At 43.3% G+C, this 26,249-nt stretch overlaps 1 protein-coding gene and 1 non-coding gene across 4 annotated transcripts, besides 4 other annotated features; one reads left to right on the forward strand and one right to left on the reverse strand.

Moving 5' to 3' along the window:
* Window positions 2,659-3,167: an enhancer, noted in NCBI's record as "NANOG hESC enhancer chr13:21704143-21704651 (GRCh37/hg19 assembly coordinates)". NCBI's record gives its function as "activates a minimal SCP1, AML or CMV promoter by ChIP-STARR-seq in naive H9 embryonic stem cells {active_cell/tissue: H9 hESC(naive)}" and the evidence as "EXISTENCE:reporter gene assay evidence [ECO:0000049][PMID:30033119]".
* Window positions 12,541-12,612, reverse strand: LOC124900339 (small nucleolar RNA SNORD27). Its single transcript, XR_007063949.1, has one exon. It is a non-coding gene; the product is annotated as a small nucleolar RNA SNORD27 (small nucleolar RNA).
* Window positions 12,588-12,637: an enhancer, noted in NCBI's record as "active region_7430". NCBI's record gives its function as "activates an Ori minimal core promoter by ATAC-STARR-seq in GM12878 lymphoblastoid cells {active_cell/tissue: GM12878}" and the evidence as "EXISTENCE:reporter gene assay evidence [ECO:0000049][PMID:35858748]".
* Window positions 12,688-13,007: an enhancer, noted in NCBI's record as "active region_7431". NCBI's record gives its function as "activates an Ori minimal core promoter by ATAC-STARR-seq in GM12878 lymphoblastoid cells {active_cell/tissue: GM12878}" and the evidence as "EXISTENCE:reporter gene assay evidence [ECO:0000049][PMID:35858748]".
* Window positions 12,774-21,752, forward strand: SAP18 (Sin3A associated protein 18). 3 transcript variants are annotated; one of them, NM_001366643.2, is made up of 5 exons: window positions 13,201-13,336; window positions 13,541-13,650; window positions 17,747-17,939; window positions 19,460-19,582; window positions 19,841-21,737. In NM_001366643.2, exons 2-5 carry the CDS (start codon window positions 13,617-13,619, stop codon window positions 19,995-19,997), a joined length of 507 nt encoding a protein of 168 aa, NP_001353572.1. In that variant the 5' UTR covers window positions 13,201-13,336; window positions 13,541-13,616; the 3' UTR covers window positions 19,998-21,737. The 3 variants fall into 3 exon arrangements, 2 of the variants coding, with proteins under 2 accessions (NP_005861.2, NP_001353572.1); NM_005870.5 differs by lacking the exon at window positions 17,747-17,939 and having other exon boundaries at window positions 12,774-13,336; window positions 19,841-21,752; NR_172492.1 differs by lacking the exons at window positions 17,747-17,939; window positions 19,460-19,582 and having other exon boundaries at window positions 12,774-13,336; window positions 19,841-21,752.
* Window positions 13,168-13,507: an enhancer, noted in NCBI's record as "active region_7432". NCBI's record gives its function as "activates an Ori minimal core promoter by ATAC-STARR-seq in GM12878 lymphoblastoid cells {active_cell/tissue: GM12878}" and the evidence as "EXISTENCE:reporter gene assay evidence [ECO:0000049][PMID:35858748]".
* Window positions 21,753-26,249: the final 4,497 nt, after the last annotated feature.

A 26,249-nucleotide genomic window follows, 5' to 3' on the forward strand; every position in this document is an offset into this window, starting at 1 on the left:
TTTTTAGTAGAGACAGGGTTTCACCATGTTGGCCAGGCTGGTCTCGAACTCCTGACCTCAGGTGATCTGCCCGCCTCGGCCTCCCAAAGTGTTGGGATTACAGGCGTGAGCCACTGCGCGTGGCTGGCCTGGCTTGCTTTCATTCTCCCTACATGCAGCCTGGGCCATCTCAGCCCCTTCCCAGAGCTCACCTTCTGCCTGCAAGCCCCATCTCCCAGATCTCCAGGCTGTCTCTTCTCATTTGGCATCACTTCAGGGCCCTGTGTGTTTCTCTTTCTCTTTTTTTTTTTTTTTTTCTGAGACAGGGTCTTGTTCTGTCACATAGGCTGGAGCGCAGTGGCACAATCATAGCTCACTGCAGCCTTGACCTCCTGGGCTCAAGTGATCCTCCTACATTAGCTTCCCAAGTAGCTGGGACCACAGGTGCACACTACCATACCCAGTTAATTTTAAAATTTTTTTGTAGAGATAGGGTCTTACTATGTTGTCCAGGCTGATCTTGAAGTCCTGGGCTCAAACAATCCTTCTGACTCAGCCTCCCGAAGTGTTGGGGTTATAGGCACGAGTTTCCAGTTTATTTGGGTAAATACCAAGGAGCATGATTGCTGAATTGTATGATAATAGTATGTTTAGTTCTGTAAGAAACTGCCAAACTGTCTTTCAAAGTGGCTGTACCATTTTGCATTTCCACCAGCAATGAATGAAATTTCCTGTTGCTCTACATCCTCAGCATTTGGTATTGTCAATGTTTTTTATTTAGCTGCATAAACAATCATGTCACCTGCAAACTACAACAGTTCTTTTTTTTTTTTTTTAAACTAGTTTATATAAATAGAGACAGGGTTTTGCTATGTTGCCCAGGCTAGTCTCAAACTACTGGGCTCAAGTGATCTGCCTGCCTCAGCCTCCCAAATTTCTGGGATTACAGGCATAAGCCACCATGCCCAGCCAGTACAACAGTTTTAATTCTTCCTCCCCAATCTGTCTACCTTTACTTTTCTTTTCTCATCTTGCATTAGCTAGGACTTCTAATACAATATTAAAAAGCAGTAGTGAGAAGGGACATCCTTTCCTTGTTCCTCATCTTAGGGGGAGGACTAATTTCTCACCATTAAGAATATGATGTTAGCTGTAGGCTTTTTGTAGATGTTCTTTATCTAGCAGAGGAAGTTCCTCTTTATTCCTAGTTTGCTGACAGTTTTTTTTATCATGAATGGGCGTTTGATTTTGTCAAATGCTTTTTTTTATATTATTGATATGATATTATTTTCCTTCTTTATTATTATTATTTTTTTGAGATGGAGTCTTGCTCTGTTGCCCAGGCTGGAGTGCAGTGGCCCAATCTTGGCTCATTGCAACCTCCGCCTCCTGGGTTCAAGTGATTCTCCTGCCTCAGCCTCCTGAGTAGCTGGGATTACAGGCACCTGCCACCACACCCGGCTAATTTTTGTATTTTTAGTGGAGATGGGGTTTTTGTATTTTGTTTTGTATTTTTAGTAGAGACAGGGTTTCACCATGTTGGTCAGGCTGGTCTCAAACTCCTGACATTGTGATCCGCCCACCTCGGCCTCCCAAAGTGCTGGGATTACAGGTGTGAACCACCACGCCCAGCAACATCAGCTGATTTTTAAATATTGAGCCAGCCTTGCATACCTGGGATAAATCCCACTTGGTTATGGTTTTTTAATACAACATTGTTGGATACAATTTGCTTATATTTGTTGAGGATTTTTGCCTCTGTGTTCATGAGAGATACTGATCTATTTTTTTTTTTTAAGCCAGGATCTCATCTTGTCACCCAAGCTGGAGTGCAGTGGTGCAATCCTGGCTCACAGCAGCTTCAGTCTCCTAGACTTAAGTGATCCTCCCACCTAAGCCTCCCAAGGAGTGGGGACTATAGACATGCACCACCACGCCTGGCTACTTTTTCATATTTTTTATAGAGATGGGGTTTTGCCATGTTGACCAGGCTGGTCTCGAACTCCTGACCTCAAGTGATCTGCCCACCTTGACCTCCCAAAGTGCTGGCATTACATGTGTGAGCCACTGCGTCTGGCCCTAAAATGTCTTTAACCATGTAACACATATTTTAATACCAGTTATACATTTATTTGGGAGCGGTGGCTCACTTGTGTAATCCCAGCACTTTAGGAGGCCTCTACAGCTTGCCTCTGGTAAATATGTTGCTGACACTCTGCAGACTCTTGAGGAAGTAGATGTCTGTTTGAAAACCATTTTCCATCTAATCATTCAAATGCTTAAATTAGGGATTAAAATGAGAGACATTTCAACTCTCTGAAAAGACAATGCCACCCCTTTTTCTGTTCCACTGGCTTAAAAGTAAGTGGGTTTCCAAATCCTACACCTTAGGGTCTAATTGGTGGGAACAGCCTAGTAATTTATCCAACTGTTCATTGATATAATTCAATAGGCATTAACTGAGCACTAGCTATGTGCTAGGTAGGCTCTGTGGACTGGGCTAGGAGCTGGGGATGCAGAGGTAAGACAGAGCCTCTGCCCTCAGGCAGTTTACATTCTATAAAGAGAGGGTGACATAAGTCACATAAATCAGAAACGAGAGATGCTATGAGAAATAAACAAGCGATTGCTGATGGAGGAGGGAGGCAGAGAGAACTCTACATTACTAAAGCTGAGAAAGGCCTCTCTGAGATTACTTTGATAATAGAGTGAGTGAGGACTGAGGATGGGACAAGGGTGTGGGGGAAGATTGTCTCAGGCAGAGGAAGCAGCAAATGTTAACGTCCTGGTCTGGTAGGGAAGGCCCACAGGGCTGCAGAGCAGTGAATTAGGAGGATGGCGGGAGAGGAGGGTGGAGGAGTCATCAGTATCTTAGTATGGAAGTTAGCTTTTGTTCCAAAGTACAATGGATACTTTGAAGGTTTTTAATCAAGGGATTAGGACTTTTAAAACACTACCCCTCTGGCTATAGCGTGAAGAATGCCAGTAGGGGTGACACAGCAAGAACAGTTAGGAGGATCAGGACTGATTCATGGCAGCATTGCCTGTAGTGCTGATGCCAAACAAGCACTTGTGCTCATTTGTAAAAATACAGAGTTCTGGCCAGGCTGGTGGCTCATGCCTGTAATCCCAGTGAGAGGTGAAGCCAGCTGGACTTCCTGGGTGGAGTGGGGACTTGGAGAACTTTTCTGTCTTACAAGAGGATTGTAAAATGCACCAATCAGCACTCTGTAGCTAGGATTGTAAAATGCACCAATTAGCGCTCTGTAGCTAGCTAGAGGTTTGTAAAATGCACCAATCAGCACTCTGTAAAAATGCACCAATGAATGCTCTGTAGCTAGCTAGAGGTTTGTAAAATGGACCAATCAACACTCTGTAAAATGGACCAATCAGCGCTCTGGAAAATGGACCAATTAGCAGGACATGGGCAGGGACAAATAAAAGAATAAAAGCTGGCCATTCCCCCTTTTTCCACCGCCCCCTGCTTCCGCCAGCAGTTGCAACCAGCTCCAGTCTCTTTCTGGGTTGTGGAGGTTTTGCTCTTTCCCTCTTCCCAATAAATTTTGCTGTTGCTCACTTTTCGGGTCCCTGCGGTCATTAAGAGCTGTAACACTCACTATGCCATCTTTAAGAGCTGTAACACTCACCGCGAGGGTCCGTGGCTCCGTTCTTGAAGTCACGGAGACCACGAACCCACCGGACACCAGCACTTTGGGAACCCTTGGAGGCTGAGGCAGGTGGATCACCTGAGGTCAGGAGTTCTGAGACCAGCCTGACCAATTTGGTGACACTCTCTCTCTACTGAAAATACAAAAATTAGCTGGGTGTTGTGGTGTGAGCACATAATCCCAGCTATTTGGAAAGGGAGACAGGACAATTGCTTGAACCCAGGAGGCAGAGGGTGCAGTGAGCGGAGATCGTGCCATCGCACTCCGGTGTGGGAGACAGAGACTCCATCCCCCCTCCAAAAAAAAGAGGTTTTTTTTTGTTTTGTTTTTGTTTTTGAGACGGAGTCTTGCTCTGTCACCCAGGCTGAAGTGCAGTGGCGCGATCTCAGCTCACTGCAACCTCCACCTCCTGGGTTCAAGCGATTCTCCTGCCTCAGCCTCCCGAGTACCTGGGACTACAGGCGCCCGCCACCATGCCTGCCTAATTTTTTTTTTGTATTTTTAGTAGAGACAGGGTTTCACTGTGTTAGCCAGGATGGTCTCGATCTCCTGACCCTGAGATCTGCCCGCCTTGGCCTCCCAAAGTGCTGGGATTACAGGCATGAGCCACCAAAAAAGAGTTCTTAAGATAGCAAAAAGTAACCACCTGGGCTTGGTGGCTTATGCTTGTAATCCTAGCACTGTGAGAGGCAGAGGTAGGAGAATCACTTGAGGCCAAGAGCTCAAGACCATTCTGGGCAACCTAGCAAGACTCAATCTCTACAAAGTATTAAAAAATGAGCTGGATGTGGTGGCTCATGCCTGTAGTACAAGCTGCTCATGAAGCTGAGGAGGGAGGATCCCTTGAGCCCAGGAGCTGGAGGCTGCAATGAGCTGTGATCATGCCACTGCCCTCCAGCCTGGGAGACAAAGTGAGACACTTTCTTTCTTAAAATAAATAAATAAATAAGAAGGCCAGGTGACATGGCTCATGCCTGTAATCCCAGCACATTGGGGGTGAAGGTGGCAGGATCACCTGAGGTCAGGAGTTTGAGACCAGCCTAGCCAACATGGTGAAACTCCGTCTCTACTAAAAATTATAAAAATTAGCCAGGTGTGGTGGCATGCGCCTGTAATGCCAGCTACTTGGGAGGCTGAGGCAGGAGAATCACTTGAAGTGTGGAGGTGAAGGTTGCAGTGAGCCCAGGTGGCCACTGCACTCCAGCCTGGGCAAGAGAGTGAGACTCTGTCTCAAAAACCGAAAGAGAGAAGAAATGTACAGTCTAAGTAGTAATTGTACTATCTGTAAGCTTAATTCTTCTAGGATTGTTATGGAAATTTATATATTTTTTCGACTCCTTTTTTGAGACAGGGTCTCACTCTGTTGTCTAAGCAAAAGAGTTGTACAGTTATACACAATCACGGCTCACTGCAGCCTTGACCTCCTGGGCTCATACAAACCTCCCACCTCCAGCTTCCTGAGTACCTGGGACTACAGGCACGTCCCACCCCAGCTAATTTTTTTTTTTTTTTAAGAGACAGGGGTCTTGATAATGTTGCTCAGGCTGGTCTTGAACTCCTGGACTCAAGTGATATTCCTGCCTCAGCCTCCCAAAGTGCTGGGATTACAGGTGTGAGCCTTTGCGCCCAGCCTTTACTCTTGGTAACAAGTAGATGCTTTACTGAGACTGTTCACATACAACCCTTTGGGAAACAGAGCCCAGTAAATATTGTGCTTATAAATGCTGTACCCCTTGTCGCCTACAGATACACCTGAAGGAAAGAGTGTCATGAGAGGAATTTGAAAAGCATTAATAATCCCCTAGAGATTCAAATTTATAATCCACAACTTTTATAAACAACCAGATAGTTCTATGGATAATACATTTCATTAAATCTTCTCCAGAAACAAATTTTGTATAGTGTTCACTTATTTCCCTGCCATTAAAAGGTCATTCTTCTTCATATTAACAGCAGAGAATGCCATGGAGTTGCAGTGATTGACTGAGGCATATTCTTTAGAACTCCTCATTACATATTTCTGATTTTAATTCGGAGAATCTGCCTTTTCCTAGATTCATAATGCTAGGACACACAAAAGAGAGAGAGTAGAAAAAGAAGAGTGGAGAGAGTCTGATGACTTATTTTTCACATACTTCAGATGTTCACTTTTTTTAATTTTTAAAATTGTGATAAAATGTATGTAACATAAATGTTATCATTTTAACAATTTTTTGGTGTACAATTCAGTGACTTGAAGTATGTTCACTATGTTGTGCAACCATTCCCACCATCCATATCCAGAATTTTTTCATCATCTCAAAAAGAAACTCTGTACCCATTAAGCAATAACTTCCCAGTCCCCACGTACCCACCAGCCGCTGGCAGCCTCTCTTTTACTTTCTGCCTATGAATTTGCCTGTTCATTCTATGTGCCTCTTATAAATGAAATCACACAATGTTTGTTCTTTTGTGTCTGGCGTATTTCACTTAGCATAATGTTTTCTAGGTTCACCCACGTTGTAACGTGTCAGAATTTTATTCCTTTTGAAAGCTGAATATTCCATTCTATGTGTATCTTTCCATCTGTTGATGGACATTCAGATTGTTTCTACCTTTTGGCTACTGTGAATAATACTGCTATGAACACTAGTGCACAAATACCTGAGTCCCTGCTTTCAATTCCCTTGGGTATATTACTTAGAAGTGTAATACTTGTCCACGTAAATTCTAAAAAGAAAGGAAAGATGCATACCCTTAAATATTACAATTTCAGGAGCAACTCAGAGCTGGTTTTACAAGTCCATGTAGGTAGAATGAGGGCTGCTGAAAAAGTATTCCAAGTATTCTAAAATATAGATGCACTTCTACTGCCTCAAGATGTCGGAAAGTTTCATTTTGATGAGAGCTGGTTATTTGGAAAGGTCCCAAAATGAGAGCTTATATCTAAGAAATGAACCCTCCCCAGTATCACCAATAAAAGGTTGTGAAGTTCTTCATTTTCATAGTTTCAATGTTTTCCCTTTAATGGATTGATTAGAGTGCCCTCATGTGTCTGTATTATTATATTATGGAGGTTTTGAAAAAGATATAATACTAGAATCATCCTAGAATTCTTCTTTATTCAGAAAAATAAAATTTTAAAAAAAAAGATATACTAGAATCATAGAACTGGGGAGAAAATTTAAATATCTTTTTGAAAAAACAAACATTGCCTGCATGCAACTCTGCATGCATGCCTATTCTAGGCACAATGAAAAAATAAATTTTTTATGGCTGGGTGTGGTTAGTCACACTTGTAACCTCAGCACTTTGGGAGGCCAAGGCGGTGAATTGCTTGAGGCCAGGAATTTTTTTTTTTTTTTTTTAGACGGAGTCTCACCTAAGCCTCCCGAGTAGCCGGGACTATAAGTGCCCACTACCACGCCCGGCTAATTTTTTGTATTTTTAGTAGAGACAGGGTTTCACTGTGTTAGCCAAGATTGTCTCCATCTCCTGAACTCATGATCTGCCCGCCTCAGCCTCCCAAAATGCTGGGATTATAGGCATGAGCCACCACACCCTGCCGAGCCCAGGAGTTTGAGACAAGTTAGGCAACATGGCAAAACCCCGTTTCTAGAAAACATTAGCCAGGCATGGTGGTGTGGCCTGTGGTCCCAGCCACATGGGAGGCTGAGGTGGGAGGATTGCTTGAGTCCAGGAGGCGGAGGCTGCAGTGAGCTGAGATTGAGATTATGCCAATGCATTCCAGCCTGGGCAGCGGAGCCAGACCCTGTCTCAAAAGTAAGTAAGTAAATAACTATTTTAAAAGAGTAATCTAAATCACACATACAAAAGAGTTTCTAAGATGTACAGCTACAATGTAAAGAATAAAAAACACACTCCTCCTAGTGAGAAAGAGTATATTACCAGTATCTTAGAAGCTGTGGATGCCCTTCATAAATTGCATCACCCAAGCTTACCCTCAGAGGTAACACTAAACTGAATTTAGTGTTTATTTCCCCCTGCTTCTCTTTATAGTTTTACTACTCATGTTTGTTTCCCTAAACAGTATTTTTAGGTGAGGGGTTCCTATTTTCCCCCCAAATTGAATAAACTGCATAAATTGAACCCTATCGTATGTGTTCTGTGACTTGCTTCTTCTACTTTTTTAAAAAAGAAGGCTGGGCACGGTGGCTCACGCCTGTAATCCCAGCACTTTGGGAGGCTGAGGTGAGCGGATCACGAGGTCAGGAGATTGAGACCATCCTGGCCAACATGGTGAAACCCTGTCTCTACTAAAAATACACAAATTAGCTGGGCATGTATCGGGGGAAAATTCAGCGAGATATCGGGCCGAAATTCACCCCCAATATTTCACGTAGGTTCTTTTCTATTTTCCCTAAGTGTCGGCTGGTCTGAGAAATAAAGGGACAGAGTACAAAACAGAGAAATTTTAAAGCTGGGCATCCGGGGGAGACATCACATGTCGGCAGCTTCCGTGATGCCTCCTGAGCCACAAAACCAGCAAGTTTTTATTAGTGATTTTCAAAAGGGGAGGGAGTGTACGAATAGGGTGTGGGTCACAGAGATCACATGCTTCCCAAGGTAATAAGATATCACAAGGCAAATGGAGGCAGGGCGAGATCACAGGACCACAGGACCAGGGCGAAATTAAAATTGCTAATGAAGTTTCAGGCTCGCATTGTCATTGATAACATCGTATCAGGAGACAGGGTTTGAGAGCAGACAACCGGTCTGACCAAAATTTATTAGGTGGGAATTTCCTCCTCCTAATAAGCCTGGGAGCACTACGGGAGACTGGGGCTTATTTCATCCCTACAGCTCGACCATAAAAGACAGCCGCACCCCGAAGCGGCCATTTTAGAGGTCTACCCTCAGGGACACATTCTCTTTCTCAGGATGTTCCTTGCTGAGAAAAAGAATTCAGTGATATTTTTCCATTTGCTTTTGAAAGAAGAGAAATATGGCTGTGTTCCGCCCGGCTCACCGGCGGTCGGAGTTAAAGGTTATCTCTCTTGTTCCCTGAACATTGCTGTTATCCTGTTCTTTTTTCAAGGTGCCCAGATTTCATACTGTTCAAACACACATGCTCTACAAACAATTTGTGCAGTCAACGCAATCATCACAGGGTCCTCAGGTGACATACATCCTCCTCAGTTTACAAAGATGATGGGATTAAGAGATTAAAGACAGGCATAGGAAATCACAAGGGTATTGACTGGGGAAGTGATAAGTATCCATGAAATCTTCACAATTTATGTTCAGAGACTGCAGTAAAGACAGGCGTAAGAAATTATAAAAGTATTAATTTGGGGAACTAATAAATGTCCATGAAATCTTCACATCCACATTCTTCTGCCATGGCTTCAGCCGGTCCCTCCATTCGGGGTTCCTGGCTTCCCACAACAAGCATGGTGGTGTGTGCCTGTAATCCCTGCTACTCAGGAGGCTGAGGCAGGAGAATTTCTTGAACCTGGAAGGCGGAGATTGCAGTGAGCTGAGATTGCACCACTGCACTCCAGCCTGGCAACAGAGCGAGACGCCGTCTCAAAAAAATAAAAAAAATAAAAAATAAAAAAAATTTTAAAAAAGAGTACTGATTCATTTATTTACTTTCAAGTCTTTATAGTATTCCATTTTATGAATATACTCTAGGTAGGCAGTTGAATTGTTTCTAGTTATTATGACTAAACACATTATAATATTATTTAAACTGCTGCCTTGTGCTCATGGCCAACGGTTTTTCTGAGCTACACATAAGGCATAGAATAGCTGAGTCTTTTTTTTGTCTTGAGATGGAGTTTCGCTCTCGTTGCCCAGGCTGGAGTGCAATGGTGCAATATGGGCTCACTGCAACCTCCACCTCCCAGATTCAAGCGATTCTCCTGCCTCAGCCTCCCAAGTAGCTGGGATTACAGGCATGCACCACCATTCCTGGCTAATTTTGTATTTTTAGTAGAGATGGGGTTTCTCCATGTTGGTCAATCTGGTCTTGAACTCCCAACCTCAGGTGATCCGCCCACCTCGGCCTCCCAGAGTGTTGGGATTACAGGCGTGAGCCACCACGCCCAGCCAGAATAGCTGAGTCTTAAGGTGTACACATATTGAATCTTTCTAGGTGATGCCAATCAGTTTTCTAAAGTGGATGAGAGCAATCTGTAAGAATTCCCTTTTCTCCATATCCTTGCGAGCACTTAGTTGTCTGACTTTCACATTTTGTTTAATCTAGTAGAGTGAAATGTTATCTGTGTTTAACTTTGCATTTTTATGACTATTCTTGAGGTCGGGTATCTTCATATGTTTACCTTTATTTAATCTTCTATGAAATGCCCATTTTTTTTTGTTTTGTTTTGTTTTGAGACGGTGTATAGCTCTGTTGCTAAGGCTCTCACTGCAACCTCCGCTTCCCGGGTTCAAGTGATTCTCTTGCCTCCAGAGTAGCTGGGATTACAGGCACCTGCCACCATGCCCAGCTAATTTTTGTATTTTTAGTAGAGAGGGTTTCGCCATGCTGGCCAGGCTGGTCTCGAACTCCTGACCTCAAGCTATCTACCCATCTCAGCCTCCCAAAGTGCTGAGATTACAGGCGTGAGCCACCGTGCCTGGCCCATCCATGTCTTTTGTCATTTTTTCTATTGAATTATGTATTTTTAAAATAGCAAGGTATAGCATTAGTACAGAGGGGTGCATAAAAAATAAATGGGGTTGAGTACAGTGGCTCTTGCCTGTAATCCCAGCAGTTTGGGAGGCTGAGGAGGGTGGATAGCTTGAGGTCAGCAGTTTGAGACCAGCCTGGCCAAAATGGTGAAGTCCTATCTCTACAAAAATTAGCCCATCATGGTGGCTTGTGCCTGTGTTCCCGGCTACACGGTCCCAGCTACCCAGGAGGCTGAGGTGAGAGGATCACTGGAGCCGGGAAGTCAAGGCTGCAGTGAGTCATGATTGCATCACTGGACTCCAGCCTGGGTGACAGAGCAAGACCATCTCAATAATAATAACATAAATGTACTCTTTAAAGAGTAATTTTAATTCAGGCCGGGCATGGTGGCTTATGCCTATAATCCCAGCACTTTGGGAGGCTGAGGCGGGTGGATCACAAGGTCAGGAGTTCAATACCAGCCTGGCCAACATGGTGAAACCCCGTCTCTACTAAAAATTCAAAAAAATTAGCTGGGCATGGTGGCGGGTGCCTGTAATCCCAGCTACTGGGGAGGCTGAGGCAGAGAATTGCGTGAACCCATGAGACGGAGGTTGCAGTGAGCCAAGACTGTGCCACTGCACTGCACTCCAGCCTGGTGACAGAGCGAGACTCTGTCTCAAAAAAAAAAAAAAAAAAGTAATTTTAATTAAAACAGCTATGTAACCACCACCTAAGTTAAAAAAAAAATGGAATGTTGCCAACACTCTAGAAGCATTCCATTTACCCCTCCCTTATTACAATTTCCTTCTATACTCAGAGGTCATTACTACTCAGACTTTTCTGGTAATTATAATTACTTCTCCATTTTCTTTATAATTTTGTCACCTGGGAATTCTCTTGAACAATATCTTTTAGTATTACCTGCTTTTGAATGTTTTGAAAATGAATTCATACAGTAAATACATTTTTGTCTTTGGTTTCTTATATTCACCATCATGTTTGTGAGATTCACATTGTTTCATATGACTGTAGTTTGTAAATTTGTGTTGCTTTATAGTATCCCATTGTTGATTGGTAGTTTTATTGCTGTCTAGTACACCACAATTCACTGAACTGTCCTACTGTTGATAGACACTTGGGCTGTTTCCAGCTTTTTGTTCTCATGAACAATATAGCTAAGAACATTCTTGTAATGTCTCTGGATACACTTGAGCAAGATTTTCTCTAGGGTAAGTACTACTTTCTAAAGCAGGTGTTCCAGTTTACATTCTTACCAGCAGTATATGAGAATTCGCAGTAGCCTACAAACACCTGCTACTGTCAGAGTTCCTAGATTTTTTGTTTGTTTTAAGACGGAGTTTTGGAGTTTTGCCCTTGTTGCCCAGACTGGAGTACAGTGGCGTGATCTTGGCTCACTGCAGGCTCTGCCTTCGGGTTCAAGTGATTCTCCTGCCTCAGCCTCCCAAGTAGCTGGGATTACAGGCTTGTGACACCACGAGTGGCTAATTTTGTATTTTTAGTAGAGACGGGGCTTCACCATGTTGGTTAGGCTGGTCTCGAACTCTTGACTCAAGTGATCCACCCGTCTTGACCTCCCAAAGTGCTGGGATTACTGGGGTGGGCCACCATGACCAGCCGTATTTTTTTTTTTTTTTTTTTTTGAGACGGAGTCTCACTCTGTCATCTAGGTTGCTGGACTGCAGTGGCACGATCTCCACTCACTGTAACCTGTAACCTCCGCCTCCCGGATTCAAGCAATTCTCCTGCCTCTGCCTTCCCAGTAGCTGGGATCACAGGCGCCTGCCACCACTCTTGGCTAATTTTTTTTTTTTTTATTTTTAGTGGAGACGGGGTCTCATTGTGTTGGCCAGGCTTGTCTCAAACTCCTGACCTCAAGTCGGGAGTCAGGAGGTCAAATAATCTGCCTGCCTCGGCTTCCCAAAATGCTGGGATTACAGGCGTGAGCCACCACCACGCCCGGCCAGAGTTCTTAATTTTTGCCAATCTAGTGAGTGTGGTTTAAAAACCAATCAATTGAAACTAATCGTGGTTTTAATGCATTTCCCCGATTCGTAATGCGCTTGCGCACCTTACATGTTTGTTGACTATCTGGATTTTGTCATTGCCAAAGCACCTGTTCAGTAATTTTATCCATTTTTCGATTGGGTTGTCTGTTTAGATCCTATATATTCTGGATAATTGCCTTTGTCAATCATATGTGTAACAAATTTCTACTGTGTGGCTTCTCTCTTATGATGTATTTTATTTCCCACTCTTCAGTCGTAAGATGGTATCACTTGTAAGTTCAGTCATATACTTGGCATTTTGGGTTCATCATGGAGTTATGTATTTTGAAGGTCAGATTATTTTTGTCGTAACCCAGTCAAATCAATTGCTTCAAGTTAGTTGTTTTTGTATCATATATTCCCACCCATAAGTCCTGAAGATATTCTAGAACGTTATTTCCTACAAGTTCTGGATTTGCTGTACGCGTTCAGGTCTCTAAGCCACCCGAACTGTGTGTGGCTGGAAGGATCGCTCCATGACCACGTACGCTGGCGGCCCCTCTTCCGGCTTACCTCAGGGGCTGGTATCGCGGGCCTGTTCTTTCATCAGAAAGATCTATATTTTGCTAATAAAGGAACGCTTTGTGTCCAATAAGGTTTTCGTCATTACGCATGAAAACGCCACCTTAAGCTTATGTCGCCTGTGAATATTTAAGGGAAAAAAACATCCCGGCAACCAACTGCTAGGCGACGGACGCTAAGCACCTCCTCCCCGCGGACGTCAGCACCCGCCTTTTCCCGAAGTCGCAACACGCAGGCGCGCTCCGGCTCGCTCACCACGCACGGAAGTGCGCCTGCGCCAGGAGACGCCCCGCCCAGCCCCTGGCCGACTATAAAGTGTCGAGCTTCTCCTCGCGAGAGACTTAGTGCTCATGCTCGCTGCAGGGGTCGGAGGTCAGGGCGAGCGTCTCGCAGGCCGTAGGAGGAAGATGGCGGTGGAGTCGCGCGTTACCCAGGAGGAAATTAAGAAGGAGCCAGAGAAACCGATCGACCGCGAGAAGGTGAAGGCCCCCTCCGCTTTGGGGTCCGGGAAGAGGTTGGGGATGAGTCCCGCAGGGTGCAGAGGCGCGGCCTGTGTGCTGGAGGAGATGGTGTTTTTGGTCTCGGGGAGGCTCGGAGGCCGCAACGCCTCGGGAAGAGAGATGAGCTCCGGGTTCGCAGCTGGTGTTTTTAACTTCTGCCCTTCCGTTTTCTCTCTCCCTCAGACATGCCCACTGTTGCTACGGGTCTTCACCACCAATAACGGCCGCCACCACCGAATGGACGAGTTCTCCCGGGGAAATGTACCGTCCAGCGAGTTGCAGATCTACACTTGGTGAGGAGGGCGGGGTGGCCTCAGGGACCCGGGCCGGGAACCTGGAACAACAGTTAATTGCCTTTGCCAGTGTAGAGTTATTCTCCCTGATTTCAATTTCATTTCTCCACTTGGGGCCTTCGGACTCAGCTTTCAGGAAGTTAGAAGTTTTTGTTGTTAGGTGAAAGGAGATTTGCCCGTATTGTAACGCTTTTGTGATTAATGTTGCAACTTTTGGGCGGTTAAGAATGGACAGACCCAAGATTGCTGTCACTGTTATGGCTGCTAGGTACAAAAGTGATAGGTAGATAAATATGTTGTAGTATCTGCCCTAAAGGGACTCATAGTCAAATAAATTGCACTAGGACAACATGGTAAGGGAGAGTGATGCTGTCGAGTGGTATTTGTTATTCTCAAAGAGCATTTCCACATAATATTAAGCCTTAGGTACCAAAGCACCAAAAGTGAAAAATAAACTACCAAAACCCGAGTTATTTCTTCTCTAAGGGTTATTGGAAAAGCTTTTGATATGTGTTTAGTGAAGATGGTTCCTGAATGTTTATCTCTTGGGTGTACCTCCCTACAAACTACTGTGGGCTTGTCTTTAGCGCTGCACATAACTCCTTGGATTGACACCATAATGGCTTTTTAGTATAAGTAAAAGGTGTGTAATTGAAAAATATGTGTATATACTCTCTCTATATATTTTTGAGACAGAGTCTTGCTCTGTTGCCCAGGCTGGAGTGCAGTGGTGCCATCTCGGCTCACTGCAACCTCCACCTCCTGGATTCAATTGATTCTTCTGACTCAGCCTCCCAAGTAGCTGGGATTACAGGTGTCCACCACCACGCCTGGCTAATTTTTGTATTTTTAGTAGAGATGGGGTTTCACCGTATTGACCAGGCTGGTCTCGAACTCTTGACCTCAAGTGATCTGCCTGCCTCAGCCTCCCAAAGTGCTGGGATTAAGGTGTGAGCTACTGCGCCCAGCCTAAAATAAATTTTTTATTGTGATGAAAAGATATATAACAAGCCAGGCACGGTGGCTTATGCCTGTAATCCCAGCACTTTGGGAGGCTGAGGCTGGCGGATCACTTGAGGTCAGGAGTTCGAGACCAGTCTGGCCAGCGTGATGAAACCCTGTCTCTACTAAAAATGCAAAAATTAGCCAGGTGTGGTGGCGCAGAATTGTAATCCCAGCTAATTGGGAGACTGAGGCAGGAGGATCGCTTGAACCTGGGAAGTGGAAGTTGCAGTGAGCTGAGATTGTGCCACTGTACTCCAGCCTGGGCGACAGAGCGAGACTCTGTCTCAAAATATATATGTGTGTGCCTATATAACAAAATTTGCCGTGTTAACCATTTATTTTTATTTTTTGAATCTCACTCTGTCACCCAGGCTGGAGTGCAGTGGCGTGATCTCAGCTCACTGCAACCTCTGCCTCCCAGGTTCAAGCGATTCTCACGCCTCAGCCTCCTCAGTAGCTGGGATTACAGGCGCCCGCCACCACGCCTGGCTAATTTTTGTATTTTTAGTAGAGACAGGGTTTCACCATGTTGGCCAGGCTGGTCTCGAACTCCTGACCTCAAGTGATCCACCCACCTTGGCTTCCCAAAGTGGTAGGTTTACAGGCATGAGCCACCGCACCTGGTCATTAACCATTTCTAAGTGTACAATTTGGTGGCATTAATAGCATTCAAATTGTTGTGCAACCACTGTTTCTACAAGTTTTTATCCCTCCCTCCAACAGAAACCCTGTACCCCATCCTGCCTTTTTTTAATTTTTAAAGAGACGGAGTCTTGCTCTGTTCCCCAAGCTGGATTTGAGCTCCTTGGCTCAAGCAGCTGGGACTACAGGCACACACCACCATGCCCAGTGTGCCGGTACCCTGTTAAGGACACTCTGTGCCTATTAATAATTTCCCATTCCTCCCCTGCCCCATCCCCTGGTAGCCTCTAATGTATTATCTGTCCATATATGAATTTGCCTATTCTGCATATTTCATTTCAGTGAACTCATTACAGTATTCGTCATTTTGGCTTATTTCATGGTGTTTTTAGGGTTAATGTTGTAGCATCCATTTAGCCTTGTCAAGGCTGAATCATATTTCATTGTATGTGTGCATCACATATGTACTCATCTATTGATGGACACTTGGGTTGTTTCACCTTTTTTGCCATTGTGAATAATGCTGCTGTGAACATTGGCATACAAATGTGTTTGTGTCGCTGCTTTCAGTTCTTTTGGGTATGTACCTAGGAGGGGATTACTGGGTCATATGTTAACTTTGTTTAATTTTTGAGGAACCACCAAACTTTTTCACAGCAGCTGCACTATTTTATATTCCCCAAAAGATGTATAATTTTAAACTATTTAAGCCCTGTACACTAGAGCTAATCCCTTGAAGATTGGGACCTTACTTGTCTTATTTGGAGGTGCTTGTTAAATTTATGTAGTAGTATGATACCTGTACTTAAGCATCACTCAAGGGTAAGTGTTCTAGGAAGGTTGATTTAGCTTATATGGAAGAACTGTTGAATAATGGCTTGATGAAAATCTCTTCAGAAATTAAAGTGTATGTTTCTTCCAACAAGAGTTCCTATTTGCCAGGTGCTGTGTGTGCTTAGATCCTGAGGGTATAAAGTCAAGACGGTACTGCTCCTCCCTGTAGTAAGTCCTTTTATCAGGGAAAGCGGATGAATAGAGTGATTTTTAGGGTTAAAATGGCAGGGTGAGGTTGTTCCACAGACCTTCCACTCTGAATCAAGAAAAAAAATTACCAAAAAAATCCTGTCCTAAACTATACCGTCCATAAATTGCAACCAAACAAAGAAGGAACAACTTTAAGTTACATCTCAAAATGGTGGCCAAAGAAAAGATTCTGAAAGACTGGATGATTGGTATGGGGGTAACACAAAGGCCTGCCCTCATTCCCAGAAATAGTAATGAGGGAAAATTAGTTAACATATACTGGAAATTCTCAATTTGGAGAAGTAGACTGTGGGGTTAAATAGGCAGTCCCAAGAGAAGTTATGGAAACAGGAGTGGAAGTCCAGAGGAGCCCAGTAGAGGCAGGCTGTGTTCACCAAAGTCAATCAGGGCTCAGCCAGAAAAACAGAATTGGGAGAGATGTGTTAAGAGATTTATTTCTGCTGGGCGTGGTGGCTCACGCCTGTAATCCCAGCACTTTGGGAGGCCGAGGTGGGCGGGTCATGAGGTCAGGAGTTGGAGACCAGCCTGGCCAACATGGTGAAACCCCGTCTCTGCTAAAAATACAAAAATTAGCCAGGCATGGTGGCGGGTGCCTGTAATCCCAACTACTTGGGAGGCTGAGGCAGGAGAATTGCTTGAACCCAGGTGGCAGAGGTTGCAGTGAGCCGAGATCAGCGCCACTGCACTCCAGCCCGGGCGACAGAGCGGGACTCCATCTCAAAAAAAAAAAAAAAAAAAAAAAAAAGCTTTATTGCAAAGAATTTGGTTTACGTGATTGTGGGGGCTGTCTAGGCCCTTAATTGTCAAATCTGTAGGGCAGGTTCTCAGGAAGGAAAGGCTGCTCTTAGGGCCTTTCAACTAATAGAATCAGGCCTCCCCAGATTATATAGGATAGACCTCTGAATTTAAGGTCAATTGGTTGTTGACTTTAGTCACATCTATAAAATATCTCACAGCAATACCTAGGTTAGTGTTTGGTTGAATATCTGGGGACTGTAGCTTCGTCAAGCTGACACAAGTACTGAACCCCACCCTGTCCTCAAGCTTCTGACTAGTGATGAAAAAGCAACACTTGGCACTCCAATTGTTGGTCTGGAAAGACAGTCCTTAGAAGGTGGGAAGCTTGTGTAGGTTTCACACTGTCAGAACTGATAAAAGGTGTGATATAAATCCCCCAAATTAATTAAGAGCAAGACAATATTGAAAATATTTTTAGAAAGGAAAAAATTCTTTCTGGTATATATCATCATAAGTATGTACTGTGTATCAGAATATAGACTGAGCATCGCAAGTCCAAAATCTGAAATGCCACAAAATCTGAAACTTTTGAGAGCTGACGTGACACCGGTGGAAAATTGCACACATAAGTTCTTGACCTCTTTTTTTTTTTTTTTTTTTGAGACAGAGTCTTGCTCTGTCATCCAGGCTGGAGTGCAGTGGCGCGATCTCGGCTCACTGCAACCTCTGCCTCCCAGGTATAAGCGATTCTCCTGCCTCAGCCTCCTGAGTAGCTGGGATTACAGGCGTGCACCAAACTTCCTTTCATGCACACAATTACTTAAAATGATGTATAAAATTGTATTCCAGCTGTGTATAAGGTATGTTTGAAACATAAATGAGTTTCTTATTTAAACTTGGGTCACAACCCCAAGATATCTTACGTATATGCAAAAATTCTAAAATTTGAAAAAACCTAAAACGCTTCTAGTCCCATGTATTTTGGGTAAGGGATACTGAACCTATAATTGATACAGAATAGTTAACATCAAAATATCAGGTTGAAAAAAGGTCACCTCTGAGACAGATAAACCAATGTGACCTCAGGTTTTTTTGTTTTTGAGACAGAGTCTCAGTCTGTCACCCAGGCTGGAGCACAGTGGCACAGTCTTGGCTCACTGCAGCCTCCGCCTCCCAGGTCAAGCGATTCTCTTGTCTCAGCCTCTCGAGTAGCTGGGATTATAGGCTACAGATGTGTGCCACAACGCCTGGCTAATTTTTGGATTTTTAGTAGAAACGGGGTTTCACCATGTTGGCCAGGCTGCTCTCGAACTTGAGCTCCTGGCCTCAGGTGATCCACCCGCCTTGGCCTCCCAAAGTGCTGGGATTACAGGCATGAGCCTCCGCACCTGGCAAAAAAATGTATACTAGGTTATTTCTAAGATGCTTATATGTTAAAATATTTTTTTCAGATTGTTCTCTTATTAGCTCAGGGGACTATATGAAAGTTGGATTCAAGTCAATATTTGCAGGGTAAGAAACTATTGTGACAAGAGCCTGTGCTTCATTGTAAGAAACTTTTGTATATTTCATTGGCTCTAGTACTCTTATCTGTTGTAAAACTTACAATTCTATCTAAGAAAGAAGAAACACATCTGGCTGGGCGCAGTGGCTCACGCTTGTAATCAATCCCAGCACTTTGGGAGGCCAAGATAGGTGGATCACTTGAAGTCAGGAGTTCGAGACCAGCATGGCCAACATGGTGAAACCCTGTCTCTACTAAAAATAGAAAAATTACCTGGGCGTGGTGGTGGGCGTCTGTAATCCCAGCTACTCAGGAGGCTGAGGCAGGAGAATTGCTTGAACCTGGGAGGCGGAGGTTGCAGTGAGCTGAGGTCACGCCACTGCACTCTAGCCTGGGCGACAGAGCGAGACTCTCTCAAAAACAAAACGTCAGTATGAAAATGCTTTCCTAGTACATTGATTCTAAGATACATTCCAATTTCAGAGATGCTAAAATGTGGAAGGGTACATGTCTTAGAACTAATGGGATACATCTATTTTGCATATTTGGATTTATTTGGACTAGTTACCCTTAGGTAAATCACTAGGCCATAAGGTGTTGTGTAGCAACAGAAGATAGCATATAGAATCTCTGAAGTCCCTTTTAGCACTAAGAGTCTAATTAATTGAAATTTCCAGCAGTAAGGCTGGTACATGGAGTTTTTGGAGGCAAATAGTATTTTTAGCTGCTTTAAAATTAATCTCTAGTATAAGACCCTGGCAGTTTCTAATGTAAATCACAACTCAGATATATGTAATTAACTCATTGTTAGTATCCCTTTTAATATTATTGCTGATTAATAAGCAAATGTAAATGTCTTTTTTAAAAAAAATCCAGGATGGATGCAACCTTGAAAGAACTGACAAGCTTAGTAAAAGAAGTCTACCCAGAAGCTAGAAAGAAGGGCACTCACTTCAATTTTGCAATCGTTTTTACAGATGTTAAAAGACCTGGCTATCGGTAGGTAACTTCTCATTTTTAAGTCCTGTAATCTCTTTGTTTTTAGTATGTTTTAACTGATACAGATAACTCCTTCAATGAATCTTGTTAGTGGGAGAATATGGGTTTATATTAATACGTGGTTTGGCTTAATAAAGTAGTTAAATTTTGGAAGTGTGTTATAAAATGATGGAGAAAATCCAGTGCCATATTCACTTTGTAGTACATACTGGGTTTCATTGATTTGGATCCATTAACAGTTGATTTTCTTTCTTACAGAGTTAAGGAGATTGGCAGCACCATGTCTGGCAGAAAGGGGACTGATGATTCCATGACCCTGCAGTCGCAGAAGTTCCAGATAGGAGATTACTTGGACATAGCAATTACCCCTCCAAATCGGGCACCACCTCCTTCAGGGCGCATGAGACCATATTAAATTCTATTTACTATTTGTTGAATTTATTTTTCCGTCAGTTATGTAAAATAAACATACTCTTCTTCCTCCCCTGATTATTGCCATTAAGCCTTTAAATTCTAAACAAATTATAATGCATCATCTATTTAGGAGTTAGATTTGGATGTGCTATTGTATGATTACGAATAGTCTGTATGTTTCAAGCCCTTCTGTAAAATATGAAGAAAAGTGCTCTTAGCATTCTGTGTAAAACTGTACTGTTAAATATATGTGTGTAATCAGCCTGAGTGTGAAAGTTAATGGAGGCCTGGGAACAGGGTTTATACTAAGTAGTGGAGGAGCGTATGGTTAAGCCCAAAGGGGCAGAACAAGAAAGCCACGGGATTGTATGAAATCAAACATGAGTTTGTGGTGTAGACTGCTGTATGCAGTTGGAAAGGACACGTGAGAGTGAGCTCAAGTGGCAGCAGAGGCAGTTTGGAATAAGCTGCGGCAAGTTGAAGAAGCTGTGTTGGACGAGATTGCCCCGCCTTGATCAGGGTACCATGACATAAAAGGTTAAAGAACAGGCAACACAATGAGCACTTAAGTTTTTAACATGTGGGGAATAGGGCATTTTAAAGGCTGGAACCAGTTCAGAGGAAACAAGGGTTTGGGTAGAGGTAGAAAGGTTTAATTAACCCTGGAGATCTGCAAATGGAGGGAGGGGTGAAGGAGGAATCTTAAGACCGAGGGAGAAGAGCCAAGGACAAGGTCAGGTTGAATGAGTAGGAGGTGTTCACACATCCTCTTGTGTGCTAGGTAGTGGCGTGCATCTGATCTGAGAGGCAGTAAAGCAGTGATGAAGACAGTGCAGCAGAACATTGAAGTCCTGATTGCAGCAGTGACTCTGCAACCTTGGATAAATTATTTCAATCTTTATTTTGTAAAACGGAGATAACGGCCTATAGGATTGTTAAGACTGAATATTTTAAAAGAGCTTAGAATGGTGCCTGACAAATGAGAAACAATAAATACTGATTATTGGCCATAAAGTGGTATTAAAACTGGATCTCTTTTCTTCCATGGCACTACTCTCATTTTGAAGTTTATGAACAGTACGACAGTGTATTGTAAATTCCCTTTAGTTTGTTACAGTAGCCAATTGAAAATGTATATCCCAAAATTTAAAAAAAAAAGTACCAGCAGCAATAAAATTGCACTAGTTTTATCTGGTACATACAAAAACAGCCATTTAAAATCTGATGATTCTGTGGAATTGGTGTCCCTGTTAGCAATGGCAGAGACCAGCCTGGAGCCTAGATCTGGTGCTTCTTCTGTGCTGTGGTTTACCCCAAACCTTTAGGTTGTTTATTCATTCAGATTAGATAGACTGGAGCCATAAAGTTAATTTGCACCTAGCTTTTTGGAGAATAGCCATGATTAACTGCTATTCGTGGTGGGGGTGGGGGGGAACCCTATGATTTACTATGCAGATGAAGAGGGTAGGAACTAAATAAAGGACTTTGTAAGCCAAAGTGGTTGGGCTGCTTTGTCAAATTCCACCCTTTGCTTGGTTCCAACATGGAATTTCTCCTTTAAAGATTTCAATATCCCATCAAAAGTACAGTTAGAGAATACCTAGTGAATTTATTGAATATAATGCTAAGAATCAAAAGACTTGTACTAGTTTACCTCTGGCTTTGGTAAGTGTGGCTTTGAGTAATAACTGAGCTGTTTCCCCGCATATAAAATAGAAATAAATAAGTAGTCATCATGACAGCATCTTGCTCAGTGCTTTAGTGTCTGCCCTGGTTGCCTCATTTGCTCCTAGGTATTTTGGAATTGACGTTTTCCCTTTGGAATATGTGTTACAGTACATGATATTGCCTATAATGTCTTTTTAGTTTTTCACGGTGTACAAAAACTGGGACGGTTATGCCCAGCTGATCATTGACTCAGGTAATGTTTTAGGTATCGGTTGTATGCATGTGAGGGGCAGGTGTGAATGTAGAAAGAAACATTATTAGGCTAGGTTTAAAATTCTCTAAAGTTGAACATAATAAGGAGCTGAACTTGATGCACCTCTTTCTTGTTCAATTAAACACATTTCAGACTTGTTTTTGTGAAATAGAAGGCAACACTCTAAATCAAGTTTGTAACTATGATTTAAGTGTTTACTTGTGCCAAACACAGATGGTTCCCAAGTTATGATAGTTCAACTTTAGATTTTTCAGCTTTGCAGTGGCGCATAAGCGATAAGCCATTCACTACGGTCCTCAGCTTATTATGGGGCTACATCCCAATAAACCAGCTGCCAACTGAACATCTTATAAGTAGAAAGGGCACTTCTGACTTAGGATATTTTCAACTCATGATGAGTTTATCCAGACATGACCCCCTAAGTAAGGAACATTGATACTGTGCTGAGGAACAACTTTACCAGCATTACCTCATGTAACCACAACTGAGATACAGTGACTATAGTTGCTATTTATAGGTGACAATGAGGCCCAGATTGAGGGGCTACTTTAACAGCTCAAAAATGGGGCATTGGACCTAGGTAGCCAAAAATAGAGGATTAGTTGAAACATTTCCAGAAATAATGTTCTTTCATACTCAGTTTCTTATAGTCTGGCATCCACCCACACTACACTGACACACTATTCTTGTAGTGATGTTATTCCCTACAAGTAGCAATTTTTGCCTGGTTATCTAAAGTAGACCTCTTCAGTTTTTAAACTCAAAATGCCTCTCAAAAAAAAAATATGACATGGTCATAGTTTCCACTTTGAATGTGTTAAGAGCAGCCAGATGTCTGCCTGTTCTGGTTTGTCTTCTATTACTTAAATATAGGTTGCTTTTGCAAATAACTAATTTCCTGGAGTCTGCAATGGCACAAGCTTGAAGGAAGTTATGTTTATTCTGTTAGAAAGGATTAATCATGACTAGGCAACTATTCTGTGAAGACAAAATCACGGATTCTCCCCCTTAAGAAATCCTTAGGGGAAATAAGCTAAACATAAAAGTAATTTTAATACTAAAGAGTAGTTGCAATAAGCAAAAAAGTCCTTAGCCTGGGAATGTTAATGCAGACTATTATAGGAAGGTGTAATGATATCCCTACCTCATAAAACTTGGGGAGGAGTCAGTGAAATTAGGGGAGAGCCTGGTGGGCAGTGAATATTCTGTAAAGGTAAGCTATTTTAAAGAGAAAGAAGGTATTTCTAGCCTCTTCAATTTGTGCCTTCAGCTGTTTAGAATTTCCTGCTCTACCCATGGTACCATGTCAACCCAGTTACAACTAACTCATGAGAAAATTTAACCAGGATTTGGCCGGGTGCAGTGGCTCACACATGTAATCTCAGCACTTTGGGAGGCTGAGGTTGGCAGCTGACCTGAGGAGTTCAAAACCAGCCTGGGCAACACGGTGAAACCCCATCTCTACTAAAAATACAAAAATTAGCCAGGCATGGTGGCACATGCCTGTAATCCCAGCTACTCGGGAGGCTGAGGTGGAAGAATTGCTTGAACCTGGGAGGCAGAAGTTGCAGTGAGCAGAGATTGCACCACTGCACTCTAGCCTGGGCGACAGCGAGACACTGTCTCAAAAAAAAAAAAAAAAAAAAAAAAGGAAACGGAATTTGATGAAGTTAGAGCAATTTAAGAATGAAGTGGGCTGGGCGCGGTGGCTCACACCTGTAATCCCAGCACTTGAGGAGGCCAAGGTGGGCAGATCACAAGGTCAGGAGTTCGAGACCAGCCTGACCAACATGGTGAAACCCCATCTCTACTAAAAATACAAAAACTAGCCAGATGTGGTGGCACGCACCTGTAATCCCAGCTACTCAGGAGGCTGAGGCAGGAGAATCGCTTGAACCTGGGAGGCAGAGGTTGCAGTGAGCCAAGATCTCACTATTGCACTCCAGCCTGGGCAACACAGGGAGGCTCAAAAAACAAAACAAAACAGAACAAAACAAAGAATGAAGTGAACCTTCTGAGGGATATTCAAAAATCCTTGAAAATTTTAGATGAGTGCCTATTTTATGTACCAGATGCTATGAACCTGGCAATACAAAGATTTGACACAGATGCAGATCCTTCCTCAAAATCTTACAGTCTAGTAAGGAGGAAAAGGTGCAAATATTGATAAAAGGTGGACAGAAAAATGTCACAAGAAAGAAGTGCTACTGAAACTGTGGTAGGATAATGAAAGGTTTTCTACAGATGGCATTTAAGCCTGTTCAACTCCTAAAAGTGGAGTAGGATCTACACTCCAATAAAGTGCACAGCATGAACAAAAGAGGAAACGATGAGCTCACAATCAGTAAAGCACTCACCTACTGACCTTTGGCAGGAGTTCCAGATAAAGAGGAGTATCAGATAATTCTAAAGAATTGTAATAATCTAGGTGAGAATCTGGGTAGTGGTAGAAAGATGTTAAAAGACGGAGCCTCCGTAGGGCTTGGCAACAAACAAGACTTGGGATGGGAAATCGGACATGGAAAGTTAATCATTAAAGCCTCAATTTCCCCATTTGAAAAATTAGGTACCTACCTCAAAGAGTTAATTACACATGTTAATAAATGTATAGCATTTAGAACCATCCCTGGCATCGTAAGATCTCAACTCTTCGATGTAATCACTAATTCACACAATAAACCTTTTAAACTGCTAGGTGCTTGGGTAATGGACAAAGTAAGCAAACAAGGTCCTTGCCCTCACTGAACTTTTGTGGTCCAGTGGGGGAGACAAATATTAAATAAATGTATAACCAAATATTTTATTAAATAGAATTAAATTCTACCAAATACTATGAAGGACGAGAATAAGGTGCTGAGAAAGAACTAAGGGGGAAAGATCTCTTTTAAACCAGGAAAATAGGTAAAGTCTTTGATAAAATGATATTTAATCTGAGACATATTAGCCAGGGCTCAAAGTCTGAAGTAACAGAAAACTCCAGCTGGCTCAAGAGCAAGGAGTTTATGCATCATTTAACAGAAAAGTCCATGGTAGAGCTGGCTGACTTCAGGCCCAGCTGATCCTTGAGCTCCAACACCACCTCAACTCTGTTGCGAGGGCTCCTCCACAGGCCATCCCTCCCTTCACGGCTCCAGCTGTACCTCTATCTCCAGAAGCGTGCTGCTCTTTCCCAGTACTTCCCCAGTCCCGGAATGGGCTTTCATTGACCTGACTTGACCAGTGTGGTCAGAAGTTGTGATGTTGCTTGGTTGAGCCTGGAGCTGGCCTGTAAGTTCTTAAGGGCAGTAGTTAGGGGGCAGACAAAAACATCAAGTGTCCACCAATTAAGGATGAGGGAGTGTTAGCACAGTGGGTGGGAAAAAGTATTCCAGGATGAGAGCAGCCTGTGTGAGGCCCGGGGGCAGGAAGTACGGAGGAGTGGAAGAGGGTGGTGTGGCTGGAGCACAAGGGGCAGGACGGAGAAGCAAGCTGGGGTCAAATCATGTAGGGCCATGTAAGCCAAAATAAGGATCTTGGATTTCATTTTAAGAGGCGTGGGAAGACACACTTGAAAGATCCCAATATTTGAAGCTTGACAAGCTGGAAGCATCAGTTCTAAGAAACAGAAACTAGGATTACAGGAGGGAGGTGGTAAGGGTTAGGGAAATATGACTTGGACAAACTGAGGGGCCACCACTAAACAAATGGTGCTCCCTTGCAGATAATCAGAAATGCTTAACAGTCTTTATTGCCCATCGATGTGGTTTGGCTGTGTCCTCACCCAAATGTCACCTGAATTGTAGCCCCTGTAATTCCCACGTCGTGGGAGGGATGCAGTGGGAGGTAACCGAATCACGGGGGCGGGTCTTTCCTATGCTGTTCTCATAATAGTGAATAAGTCTCACGAGATCTGATGGTTTTATAAAGGGGAGTTTCCCTGCACATACCCTCTTGCCTGCCACCATGTAAGACGTGTCTTTCTTCCCCCTCTGCCTTCTGCCATGATTGTGAGGCCTCCCCAGCCATGTGGAACTGTGAGTCCATTAAACCTCTTTCCTTTATAAATTACCCAGTCTTGGGTATGTCTTTATTAGCAGCGTGAGAACAGACTAATACACTCATCTTTAAAAAACCTCTTCACTACATAACCTCTTCTAGCTACTACACCTTCTCTCGCCTCCCTTCTTTAGCAAAACTCCTCAAGAGCTGTCTAAAGCCACTGTTTTACCTCCTCAGCTGTTTTCTCTTCCATCCACTACAGACTTCTAGTACCAGCACTCCATCAAAATTAATCAATGTTGTCAATAACATCGACTTTGCCAAACCCAACAG

Source organism: Homo sapiens, chromosome 13 (genome assembly GCF_000001405.40).
Source record: "Homo sapiens chromosome 13, GRCh38.p14 Primary Assembly".
NCBI classification, from domain to species: domain Eukaryota; kingdom Metazoa; phylum Chordata; class Mammalia; order Primates; family Hominidae; genus Homo; species Homo sapiens.